At 39.9% G+C, this 13,923-nt stretch overlaps 1 protein-coding gene across 13 annotated transcripts in view; it reads left to right on the top strand.

Annotated features, from left to right (window-relative positions):
* The window catches only part of HPSE2 (heparanase 2 (inactive)), an 858,875-nt gene that overhangs the window by 683,736 nt on the left and 161,216 nt on the right, over positions 1-13,923 (top strand). For 12 of the 13 annotated variants that reach the window (XM_047425614.1, NM_001166245.1, XM_011540030.2 and 9 more), the window contains one exon: positions 11,508-11,614. In XM_047425614.1, the coding sequence (XP_047281570.1) occupies positions 11,508-11,614 (107 nt within the window). Of the gene's footprint in view, positions 1-3,954; positions 4,057-4,332; positions 4,451-11,507; positions 11,615-13,923 lie in introns of those variants that run through there. The other variant, XM_017016496.3, reaches the window with a different exon arrangement.

Genomic DNA, 13,923 nt, shown 5'->3' with positions numbered 1-13,923 from the left:
ATATTATTAATCTATTAAATAAACCAGTGATTTGCTCAAGCCAACAGAGCTTTTTAAGTAGTAAAATTGGAGTTCAAACTGAGGCTCATCTGACTCTAGAACCAGCACTCTTATCCATTACACTATTCAGTATTGCCCACACTTATCAACTATTTATTTTATAACCCATGTAATATTTATATTCCTAACCACCCAGGATTAGGAAGGCTTTCAAAGGAGAATACTGAATGAATGTTCTTGGTGAAAGAACATCAATTTGACCCCACAGTCAGTTAATAATCTAGGGTGGGTGTCCTGGAAGTGAGGGTTGAATGAACTGAATGGATGAATGAAGTAAGGGTTGAATGAATGAATGAAGTTGAGTATCATGATATTAGGCAAGTGATAGTGGAAGACGACAAGACTTTTTAGAGGGTTATTTGCATTGATCTACTGGATTCCATTCATATGTTTCATATGCACAGGCTCTTGGTCAGTGTTTAGTAAGGTCCTGCTATATGCAAGGCAATGACAATGTGAAGAAGGTATGTGCTACCCATGGACATTTGGAGGAATGGCCCTGGAAGCAAATTGCTGTTTGGGGCAAAAAGCTTCTTCAGGAGGAAGGGGCAACTTAGGATGACCATCCAGTGTTTCAGCATGTAAGTGGGAGGATTATAGGGTTTGTCCTAAGCAAGAGTAAAATTAACAGTGAGGCTGCTGGAACCTATGACTTGTAAGTAGGTAGGGGTTGGTTAGTCACAGAAAAGGACTGGGAAAGAGACGAAGAGTAATTTATGTGCAAGTGGCTACTTTCCAATCTCTCTCTCACTAGCACTTATCCTTGAACGTAGTCATTGCTTTGGGCTCTGTGAAACTTTTCTTTCCCATTTTCTTGCATATGATCATAATGTCCTTGCCTCCCCAGTGACTTTATCTTTTTTGTGTATGTCCTTATTTTAATTTTATGTTTTGTTGCAATTACATTCAACTGCTTTTCTGTGGTTTGAGATAACAAGTGCAGAGAATGGAATTTTAAATCCTAAAAATGTCACAGAAACAGAAGCCGCAAATTAAAAATTGATCTGATACCAAAAGAAAATGGGCAAAGATGGCACTCCAGAACACAATGATAAAAAGAAATTATACAGAAAAAGATTAATGAAACTGACAGGAAGTACATTAGACAGAAGAAATGCATCAAGAGGAATGTGATGAGATACTGGAATGACTGAGCTCAGAATAGCCCAGCTTGTCTAACCTAAGAAGGACATGTTAAATATGGAGGCAGTTTAGCCAACCAGAAGTTGTGGGTCTCCTCAAACAGGAAATTGAATTAGAAAGTGAACAGAGCCCTAAACTGGAACTGTGAGGATTTGGTTTTTGCCCTTGTGATACTGAGATTATTAGTTATCTTCTCTGAAACTTAGCTTTCTCATCAGTAAAATATTATCTCTCTCATTTATTTATAAGTATTTTATAAGCAAAGTAATTGTCAAGCATTCTATAGGGCATGCAAAAAGGAAAAAAAATAGAAAATTACAATTCAGTATAATAAGGTCAAGGTCAGAGGTAGGTCCAAAGAACTTTGGAACCCAGAGGATAAAAGAATTAACTTTCTGAAGTTTTGAGGAAAGTTTCACAGAGGAAATAACATTTGAAATAGGCTTGAAAAAAAAAATCAAAACAATGTGGATGAGAAGTGAGCAGGGGAAAGGTAATCGGTAAAAAAACTATTACGGCCGGGCGTGGTGGCTCACGCCTGTAATCCCAGCACTTTGGGAGGCCAAGGCGGGCGGATCATGAGGTCAGGAGATCGAGACCATCTTGGCTAACATGGTGAAACACCGTCTCTACTAAAAATACAAAAAATTAGTTGGGCGTGGTGGCGGGCGCCTGTAGTCCCAGCTACTGGGGAGGCTGAGGCAGAAGAATGGCGTGAACCTGGGAGGCGGAGCTTGCAGTGAGCCAAGATGGCGCCACTGCACTCCAGCCTGGGTGACAGAGCGAGACTCTGTCTCAAAAACAAAAAAAAAAAAAACAAAAAAAAAAACGATTGCTTCGTGTAGTTGAAAAGTAGGAGTCCTTTCTTTGTAGTGAACCATAGGTCTTCCTCCCACAGGGGAGCAATGGGGGAAGAGGTAGCTAAGGGATGGTTGTGAAAGTCTAAGATAACAAGTTAAATAAAGCAGTTAGCATCTTATCCTGTGGTTCGGTGGTTCTCAACTTTATTTTATCGTGTCTAAAATACTCCCATGGACAAATAGATAAAATAGACTATGGGTTATATGCAATTACTAGCTCCTTAGCTTTTTTTCCCCAGTTAAGGAAACATTTCAGAATTTTGGCGAAATATTGTTATGACAACTTTGAATCCACTCTTTTTGTTTTGAACTAAATTATTCCCAAATCACTGTTTTCAATAGTATCTGAAACAAGTTGCTTGTAGCACATCTCCCAGCTGATCAAACAGACCTCTCTGAGCACAAATAATTGAGTACCACTGCTGGCAGTAGGGAACCACTGAAGGTTCTTAAGCTGAAGAGGGATTTGTCAAGTTAACAAATAGCAGCAGTGTGAAGGATGGACTAGAAGAGGAAAAGATTAGAGGCAGTAAGACCAAGGAACAAATGACAAGATCCAGAACTCAGGGAGGGGCAGTGAGGAAGAAGAGGACAGAGTCAATATCCTCTGCTCTAATGTAGCAAGTAAGTGGAGAGTCAAAAAACACAAAAGAAGGATGGAAAGAAACATGGGAAGGGCACAGAGCTCTCGCCTTGACCACTTATAAATACAATAAGGAACAAAGACTGACAAGAGGCAAGGATGTCCCTAAGAAGAGCTCTGTGTGTAGGTAAGGTTTAAGAAGCTTCCTGTAGCTATTCAGCTCTTTGTAACCAACTCTGTAGAGGACCAGTTTGGGTTACTTAAAGAGCTACTGTTCTTCGTGAAATTCTGGGGAAGGTTGATTTCCAACTAGATGAGATGCTAGAATTAATGGGCTCCAGCTTCATTTGGAGGGTGGGCCTCCTGCCAGGGCTGATTAGCCCAGCTGGCCTGTCCGCTATTCCTGTTTTATTGCTTCCTTTCTCATTAAGGAAGGTGTTGGGTTTGGATAACCATAAACAACATGTCTGCTGCTACAAGGCTACCATTTCTTACACAGCCAGTGGCTGAAGCCAGGCTCTCAAGAGTCTTTTTAAAGGACTTAGATCACAGTTTTAGAGGCAGGATATCAAGGAAACACAGGAAAAGGAAGCCCAAATTTGAAAATGTGCTACATAAATTGCTATTTTCTTATTTTTACTGTTTTTTTTTTCTTTTTTCTTTTTTTAATTCAAAGTGGTAGGGAAAATAAACTAAAAAATCCAGGCTGTTTTCTCTAGTCTCCCCTCTCTTTCTGTCTCCCTATTCCTCCCTCAATATGTCCACATGAAACAGTACTCATAGTCCCCAGCCCTGAAATATGAAGGAATGGAGCTAGAAGGGTTTCCCTTTATACAACTCTGCCTCTAGCAGGCCCAAGGATTCAGAGCAGCCACTGGCCCTTTACTGAGCAATTTTCAGGGTACCTGAAAGCCCCCTTGACCACATGCACCCAAGGATTGAAGTCTATTTGGGAACAGAAGAACAGCTGAAAGGCAGCCAACCACTCAGCTCCCTTTACCTTCACTTAAGTAATTTCAGCATTTGTACGTCTTACTCCCCAGACAGTGTATCCCTTAAAATAACCTTCATTGGCACATCATTTCTCACCAGGAACTGTACCCTTTTTCTTTCCAAAGTACTCCAAGTTTCTCTCTTCTAGCACAGGGAGAATCATGTTTACTACAAAAAACCACAGTGTTGAACTATAGCCCTCAGTTTCTTAGAGTTTTACTTTCTAAGGGAATTTTGCAGCTGGTTCCATCTGTTTCTCCTAATTTTTTTCTCTCCTCTTCTGCCCATGCTGATTTCCTTCCTGGACCCAACCAGCACCCAGCTTCAGTGTCTGTACCTCCACTACATGTCACCATCATGCTCTTCTCTGCTCATGGAAGATACAGAGTTCATAAGCCTCCCACGGTGCCCCAAACAGTAAATACTCAGAAAATATTTGTTGGTTTGTACTGACTACTCCTAGAACCTTTAACATTAATAATTTCTAGAAATATTTCCCCAAAAAACATTTCATATAACTGGTTTAGTTTTTGTATCAAAGTTGTTCCTCACTGTGTATATTTGTTCATGTGGCTTGACAGGAATTACCCCTGTGCTGAGAATGGATAAATGAACTACTCTGAATGATAATTATGTTTGTGTGAGTTATCCATGTGCATTTTAAATTCTAAACTGGCCTTTCCTGCTGCTTAGCATGCATCTGGGCTATTACCTATCACCACAAGTCCTACGTCTGAAGGAAAAACAACCAACTCTGATGTTATTCATTCAAACACAAGCTTATGTGCCTTGGACAAGGAGAGTGGTCTAGGTAATATTTTGGTTTACACCTCTAAGTGCTTACTATATGCCAGACACTACTTCAACTGCTTTATAAATATTATATAATTTAAATATCATAAAATCCTCTAAGGCAGATATGATTCTGATTTTACAGCTGAGAAAATTGAAACACAGACAGGTAATACAACTCATTCAAAGTCATGCAGTAAGTAAATAATAGAACCAGAATTCAAATGCAGGCAATCCATCTCCAGAGTCCATGCCCCTAACTGTTCCTCAATTTTAGATTGTTTCCTTTCAAATCTCCCTGCAAGTCAGAAGAGAATTCTGATTAACTTTTTTATTTTTTATTTTTTAAGAGACTCTCATGCAGGCTGGAGTGCAGTAGTGTGAACAAAACTCACTGCCTCCTGCCTCAGCCTCCTGAGTAGCTGGGACTACAGGCACAAGCCACCATGATTGGCTAATTTTTTGTTTTTCTTTTTTGAGACAAGGAATTTAGCTGTGTTGCCCAGGCTGGTCTCAAACTCCTGGCCTCAAGTGATCCTCCTACCTCAGCCTCCCAAGTAGTAGGGCTACAGGCGTAACTTTTATTTACACAGAGTCTATGTCCTTGAAGGGTCTTGTAGACACAGTATTTTATAAATCCAACCGTTTTCTGGAATCAAGTCCTCACTTAAAGGAGCTAGAGTTTGAACTCCTTTTGAAAAATAATCATCTCGGCCGGGTGCGGTGGCTCATGCCTGTAATCCCAGCACTTTGAGAGGCTGAGGTGGGCGGATCACGACGTCAGGAGATTGAGACCGTCCTGGCTAACACGGTGAAACCCCATCTCTACTAAAAATACAAAAAATTAGCTGGGCGTGGTGGTGGGCACCTGTAGTCTCAGCTACTCAGGAGGCTGAAGCAGGAGAATGGCGTGAACCCAGGAGGGGGAGCTTGCAAGTGAGCCGAGATTGCACCAGTGCACTCCAGCCTGGGCAACAGAGCGAGACTCCGTCTTGAGAAAAAAAAAAAGAAAAATAATATCTCATACAAATCACCCCTCTGAGTTGGGCATGCCACCATCCAACTAAGTACAGTAGGTTCTTGAATAATTTCATTTCATTTAACATCATTTTATTATAATATTGATGGAAAAAAAATCAATTCCCAGCTGGGGCCACTGTCTGTTTGGGTTTTCTCCGGATACTCCTGCAAATATGTAGACTGCATTAGGTTTCTTGGGTGTCTAAATGGTCCCTGTCCAAGTGAGTATGGGCGTGGGTATGAGTGGCCCTGCAATGGAATGGTAACCTGTCCATGGCTGGTTCTCACCTTGCACTCTGAGCCTCTGAGATAGGCTCTGGCTACTCTCAACCCTGAACTGGTATAAGCGGGTTGGAAAATAAATGAATGAATGAATAAAAATTATTGTAAAATAAAAATTTGTAAAGTCTACAATAATTATACAAATGTACAATAAACGATGTGGCACTAAAGCACACAACAAGTCTGTCATATTTGTGATTGTTTTTGAACTTCCTGGTGGTAGGAGGTGCTCCTTTTTGCTTTGCAAACAAATTCCTTGATTTAACCCCCCACCTCCATGACTACCGCCACTCACTGATTCACCAAAAATTGGGTAAGTAATTTTCTTACTTGTTTTTATTCATCTTTTTTCTTTTTTCTTTTTCTTTTTTTTTTTTGAGACGGAGTCTCGCTCTGTCGCCCAGGCTGGAGTGTAGTGGTGCGATCTCGGCTCACTGCAAGCTCCTCCTCCCAGGTTCACGCAGTTCTTCCGCCTCAGGCTCCCAAGTAGCTGGAACTACAGGCACCCGCCACCACACCCAGCTAATTTTGTTTTTGCATTTTTAGTAGAAACGGGGTTTCACCGTGTTAGCCAGGCTGGTCTCTATCTCTTGACCTTGAGATCCGCCCACCTCGGCCTCCCAAAGTGCTGGGATTACAGGTGTGAGCCACCACGCCCGGCCTATTCATGTGTTTTAAATGTGTATATAGATCACACTTATTTCAGTGATTAGTATGAAAAGTTTTGGGGTCTTTATTTAGAAATTCGGTGATGTTTTTGTGACCAGAAATATGTCATAGGAACTTAATTCTTATTAGTATCATTTAGCCTATAGCAACATTGGTTATATTATACGTTCTTTTGCTTAAAGTTGCCGTTTCCAAGGACCTATTGATGACTTTAAGTGAAGACTTATTGTACTTACAGCAAACATCCTCAAGTGATAAATGTGGAAATACATGATTGTTTCTTTTCTTAATATCAGAATATTATAACGAGCTTGATAACACATAAAATCCTTCTGGTATCCAAATCACCTTGTATGGTAATTGACCTTTAACACTTCTGAGGTTATTGGATTCCATACATAAATTACCTGCTAAGCAAAGCACAATTTTCCTTTTCCTTCTCAGATCAAGGAGAAAACCCCAGGCCTGATATCCTGAGATTTGGCAAATAAGCATGTTGCTCTTCTCTAGATCTTTCATGTTGTAATAGGTTTTCATTTTATGTTTTTCCTGATCTCTAAGGTCGTTTTTGCAGTCAGCATATTGCTTCCAATTCTTTGATCAGGTTTTAGTCGCCCTTTATCAGGTCACATGACTTCCTTAAGGAGTAGCAGTTTACTGTAAGCTTGTGCAAGGGCAGGTATGGAATTGCATTAACTTCTTTGTGTTACACACAGTCTCCTGTGAAGCACTTACTCTGTGCCAGGCATTCTGATAGGAAGTAAATACAAAAGTGAATAAAAGTATTCCCTGCCTTCAAAGAGCTAATGGTTCAAGGTTTCTAGGAAATTTCCTGAATTTCTTACTTGGATCGAAAATGGTAGTTCAGAATCCTACCACCAAACCGTAAGAATAATTGGCACTAGTTCCTCTGAATTCATGCATCACCGTAGAAGGACCCACATAAATGTTTATCTGCTAGTTCTGTGCTCCTTTTCACTAACTCTCAGGATCTTCCTGTGATTGGCCTAGTGTATGTGTCTTTGGCCTTTGACAAGGAAAGATCCTTAACACAATCCTATCAGGTATTATTCCAGCTTACATGTGAGGAAATTGAAGCTCGAAGTGGTTATAAAATAATAAAACTTTAATTTGTATATCATTTTACAGTTTTTATCATTTTACAATTAAAATGATATACAAATAACTGTATCATGATACAGTTTCATTATGTATATATGATCTCATAGCAGCTGCAGGGATCTTTACATAAGTCAGATCAGATCACTTTCTTGGTTAAATCCCTCCAATAGCTTTCCATCACACTCAGAATAAAAATACTCCTTTCTTCTCTGACCTCATTTTTAAATATTTCACTCCCTTACTTTCTACACTCCAGATAGTCTTCTTTTGGTTCTAAAAACAGCAGACCTATTTCCACCTGAGGTCCTTTTTCTGTGCGGTTCTTCTAGATCCATTAAGAGGCTGGCTTCTTCACTCAGTTCTCAGTTCAGATACCACCTTCCACATGAGCCCCCTCTGACCGCTATCTAAAGTACTGACCTTACCCTCTTGTCAAATTGCTCTCTACCGTGTTACTCTGTTTTGTTTTCTTCCATCACTTATTATTATCTAAATTTCTTTTATTTGTTTACTTGTTTATTATTATTCTCCTTCCCTTGACTAAAATGTAAGACAACAAGAACAAAAACTTGTTATGCTTCATTGCTATAGACCCACCACTAGAACTCTGCTTGGCATATAGTAGGTGCTCAATAAATATTTGTTGAATGAATTAGTTAATGCCCTTGATAATGCATTAATGTTTTTAGATGGGAAATCCTTAGCCCTTTCTAGCCTCATGTTTATATATTCTCCCTAGGCAATTTCATTTACTCCTGTGGATTTTTCTACCTTTCTCAGCGTTTTCCTCCAGCCCAGATCTTTGTTTCTGAGATGACCAACTCTGAGCTGTGTTTGACTTTTTTTTTCATTTCCCATACTTGTTGTTTTAAATTTCAGAATCAAAGATACTCTAGACCTTTGGGTGATAACCAAGGAAATCTACATTAGCATTATAAAATACTAACACATTTTAACATTTATATTTAAAAAGAACTTAGAGTTCATCTACTACAAATTCATGACTTTAAATGTGGATGAAGATATTGAAGTCCAAGATAATAACTGCTACAAGTGTCACAACTAGCATGTAGCATAACCCAGAATTTCCAGGGTACATTCTTGTTTCCACATTATGGTTATTTGCCTACTTAGACTATACCTCTCCTTTTGTTAATGTGTTCTTTTACACGTATTTATTTACTGAGATATAATTCACATAGCATAAAATTCACCCTTTGAAAGTATGAAATTCAGTGGTTTTTAATATAGTCACAGAATTTTGAAATCATCTCCACAATCTAATTTTAGAACATGTTCATCTCCTCCAAAAGAAACCTCATACTGATTAGCAATCACTCTCCTTTCCCCCTCCCATCTTAAACTTCCTCTTCTTCTTCAACCCTAGGAAACCATTAGTCTACTTATTGTCTCTATGAATTTGCCTATTCCGAACATTTCATATAAATAGAACCATATCATATGCGGCCTTCTGTGTCTGGCTTCTTTCACTTAGCTTAATGTTTTCAAGGTTCATTTATGTTAAAGTATTTACCTTTTTGTTTTGTTTAACCAAAGCTCCTTTCTCTAACTGCCTTTAAATCTATCTTAGAGCACAAAATTAAACATTAAATATCCTGTAAGCCAAAGACAAAAAAAAAGAAAAACACAAATATATTACTCTGCTCTGGTTACTTATAAAGGAAGTGCATAGTTTATCATGTACACAGATTTTTTTAGCACTATATTTTAAGGGAAATCATAGATGTAGTCCTTTAATCTGGCCATATGGATGTGTCTTTTGATTATTTAAGGCATTTTTCTTACTTTCTTGTTCCTACAATTCCCTGCTTCCCTTGAGTTGGGCATGAACAGTATTGAAAGGGGTGAGAGGACTACCTAGTGGTATCCTCAAACGACTCTTCTTTTTTTGTGTATAAAAGTGAATTTTTACTTAATCTTTACCAACATGCTATTGACCACCACCGTTAATTCTCAGGATTTTTCTTCCATTTATGATCATAATACTCACTTTAATCTCAAATTTGTGTAATTTTCTTACAACTTTGTTTCTGAAAAGGGTCAGTAACTTTGCCAACCCAAAATATGTTCCAAATAATGCAAATTCTCTAGCAAATGTGGGGAGAGAGGACAGGGAGCTGTACCTCACTAGAAATGAAAAGAGGAATATGATTGATTGTTGATGTCTATGTACCCATGGGTTTGGCACATATATTTTTTCTTTTTGAAGGCCCTCAGGTGCAGAGAATTAAATTAACGTAATACTCCTAAACTAACAGCAAACTATTATCATCAGTTCATGAAAGGTCTTGTTTTTGTTTTAATTTTCACCTCTCTCTTATATAATCTTTCCTTATGTGTTTGATATATGTTCTTAAGAGGCATGTGTCATTATAGGGTATTTAGTGTTATTAGGTGTGAATGAGCAATTTTATAAGTAATATTGTGCCATAAATCTCACTCAGTGTGTTTTTTTTTAATTTAACACTAAACCTTTAAAGACTATTCATGATGTTGGATTTACATTGACTTTATTGTTTTAACTGCTGCATAATATTGTATAGTGTATATCCACATTTTATTTTTCCATTCTTCTAGCAGTGGACATCTGCTACAGTGACATAGAAAGAATTCTCATTCTTACCTCTTTAGAGACCTGAAGAAGAATTTCTTTGGTGTGTATGTCTAGGAGAGTAGCTGGGGGGCCATAGGACCTAAATACACTATTTTCTTTATCCAGCCTCATTAGTGCATAGCTGGCATCCTCCCAGTCCCACCTCCTACTCTAGCCATCATTGTAGAGATCAGGGCTGGGCCAGCATGCAGGCTGCAGCCAGCTAGGTGTCAGTGTACTACGTAGTACCTCACTTCTTATTTCCTTCTCTGAGGCAGAGATGAGGAACACTCAGAGAATCTGCTCAGCACTCAGGCCTGCACATGAAATAGGGATAGAGGGGCAAGGGGTTAATGGTCACAAGGCTACTCATGCTTTCCCTTGTATCCCCTTGGGGGTCAGTTCTGAGACACAGTCTGTAAGGCTCTTACCAAGATCCCTGTGAGACTGAGTTTTTGCCAGCAATGGTTGTCAATTTGAAAATGCATCCTTGTCTTAGTTTTCCCTTCTTCCCTATTTCAGTCCCCCAGTCCCTCATTCCTGCTCCTTGGTATTATTTCTTGAGTGAACTACCTATAAACAAGCCTTTGACTCAGGTTCTGCTTTTAGGGGCTACCCAGTATACAATCTTACTCCTAAGTGCCGATTGCAGCCCCAAGCATCTGCACACTGATCTGAATAGTTTGGTCAGTCTTCATCTTGTGGGTCAGAGACTAGGCCATTTCAAATCTTCAGTGTGCCACCTTTCGACAGGAAGTTTTGCTTCTGCTTGGAAGGCATGCAATTATTCCCTGTGTGGGATGCGTCATTTGTGGGCCAGTGACTTTTCTTTTTACCCTTACTGCAGTTATTTTCAAAGTGTGATTACAATATACCTGGACTAGTAATTATAAAATAAATCTCCCACGAGCATTCTCTCTACCTTCTTGTGATTTGTGGCTTTTGATGCTTGTGTTGCATTCATGGCTTTTAGGGAGTACGTGTGTCATAGATGTGCTATAAGAGAGACTGAAAAGCATTGTTTCTCAATGCTTGTTGATATGGAAACACAATATGATTTATATTTTTTAGTGGAAAGTACTGCAGTCAGTTTACATCCTAGAGTATGCACTTGTTCTGTCACATTATCACTTGGGTTTACTTAGGGAAAAATGATAATTTCTTTAAGTGGATATGTGTCAATGTTAATGCATTTTGGTTTGTGAATGCCAACTCACTGAACTGGGTGCATCATCATAAGAAAGCACAAATCATGACCCCCTGAAAACAGGAAATCAGATCAACTTCCTTAAGGGAATGTGTGTTTCTTCTCATGTGGGAATAGCTTTTAAAACCTCGTTATCCCCTTCTGCTTTTGTTGTGTAAACAGGTGGTTAATACATACACTCCAGGAAAGAAGATTTGGCTTGAAGGTGTGGTGACCACCTCAGCTGGAGGCACAAACAATCTATCCGATTCCTATGCTGCAGGATTCTTGTGAGTAACACCTGCAAGTTCACCCCCAGGGGCTTTCAGGAGGGAAGGACAGTGAATCTCTGGTGTTGCTGATTATTCTGCCCATCCTAGGGGTGAGGCATGTTTCCCGTTGAAAGTTCATTTCATTCATTCATGTGTGTCTTAAACCATTCAACAATGATCAACACCTTCTCTAGATATTAAAATGTCAGGCACAGGCATCAGAGCAAAGATTATAGTAATAGTAGTAACAGTAATAATTATAGTAATAACAGCTTTATTGAATGTCTAAAGTTCAAAACACAGTGTAAACAACATACATTTTCTAAGCCAATTTTCACTATAGTCTTGGGAGATAGGTAACAATAAGGCATGGTTTTTTCCCTCCAGAAAAAAATATGATTGATGGAACTGGGATAGGAGATAACTACATTGTAAAGCTGTAGGAGGTAAGTGCTGTAGTAATCATACTTTTAATGATACGGTGCTTACCGCTGTCTGAAGTGCTTTATTTATATTTCATAATTTAACAACCAATGAAATCGATGCTACTGCTTTTATAACAATTTAGTGAAATAGATGCTGTTATTATCCCATTTACGGATGAGAAAACTGAAAGAGGTGAAGTAACTTATTCAAGATCACTCATTTAGTTAGTGGCACAGCTTGGACTCAAACCCAGGCAGTTTGCTCCAGAGTACAGCTTCTTTACCACTGCAGTAGACCACCTGCCTTTCTTCCTCACATGGTCTGTCTACAAAAGAAAAATGACAGACATGCAAAGGAATGAAGTATTTCTGTGACTGGGAGTATCAGGGAGGACTTCATGGAGGAAGTGGCATTTGAGTGAAGCATAGTAGGATTACTCTAATTTCTATAGGTGGGAGTCATGGTGATGACAGAGGAGAGCCTTCTAGGCCCAAGGGACATTATGAGCAAAGGCACAGAGGAGCAGAGAATGACTAATGTGACTAAAGCCTTGTTATCTGTGAGGATGCAATGAGGACTGAGACTCAGGAAAGGGTTTACCACCAAATTACAGAAGGTCTTAAAAACCCGGTAGAGGAAGTGAGGCCTTGTTCTATATTCACAGCAAGCCACTGAAGATTGTGAAGGAGAGAGACAGAGAGAGAGAAAAAAAATCTGGAGAATCTGACTTGTGTTTTAAAACTTTGACTTTATCAATGGTAGTCACAAGAGTTGGGAAGGAATGGGAAAATGAATTTGAAGGCTACTACAGTCGTCTGGAGAATGACTTAAGCCAGAAGCATAAGGGCCTCTCATTAGCCTGCCAGTGTCATGTGGCAGGGACAAACCCCTCAGGATCACTAAGTAAATGACTTGTTCCTGCTCCAGTACAGTCCTATGGCCTTGGATTTTTGACTGAGCAATGTCCTCCTAAGAACCATAGCTTTGCCCTCAGCTATGTGTTTTGCTACTAACAGCTGTTCTTAATTATGCAGCTTCCATTCCCCTGCATAGAGGCAGCTTCTTTAATACATTAATGAAGGACAAATCAGGCCAGTCAAGTGGATTGCCTTTACAGATGGAGTTCTGGCAAACGCAGATGAAGAAAATGATTCAGTGTAATTCACAGTGATACCTTGGGTCTTCCATTTCTGTGTCCTCAGCATCTAACGTTGTGTAGCACAGACAATGTCAGCAAGCGTGGTTCAAATGCATGAAGTGGAGTGAGTCACCTTTGATATAGTGTGGTTAAGAATCTTCTTTCAAAAGTACACTCCCAGCCAGGCACCGTGGCTCACGCCTGTAATCCCAGCACTTTGGGAGGCCAAAGTGGACAGATCACTTGAGGTCAGGAGTTTGAGACCAGCCTGGCCAACATGGTGAAACCCCATCTTTACTAAACATACAAAACTTAGCCGGGCATGGTGGCATGCGCCTGTAGTCCCAGCTACTTGGGAGGCTGAGGCGGGAGAATTGCTTGAATCTGGGTAGCAGAGGTTGCAGTGAGCTGAGACCGCATTCCAGCCTGGGCAACAGAGCAAGACTCCGTCCCTCCCCCATGCCCCCCAGATAAAACCCCACAAAAGTACACTCCCACTCTCCACTGGCTTGATATGAGACCTGTTGAAAGAGTGAGAAGCCAGGGTGTCAATGCTGCAGGGACCCCCTTGGAATCAGCAGAGGAATGGCATTTGCTCAGCACTCACTATAGGACGCTGCTGCAGGGCCCAGCAAGCAGCCCAGTTGTACTGAGTGGTTTTGTGAGCATTCTTCCCTTTAGGGAATGATATGAAATGAGAAATACTGCAGACCTTCATGGAGGAAGTTGGAAAAGAGAACTGCCTTTTCATGAGCATCAGCCA

This window comes from Homo sapiens, chromosome 10 (genome assembly GCF_000001405.40).
Source record: "Homo sapiens chromosome 10, GRCh38.p14 Primary Assembly".
Lineage (NCBI taxonomy): Eukaryota > Metazoa > Chordata > Mammalia > Primates > Hominidae > Homo > Homo sapiens.
The sequence above is the reverse complement of the archived record's forward strand: the minus strand, read 5'-3'. Positions and strand labels throughout refer to the sequence as shown.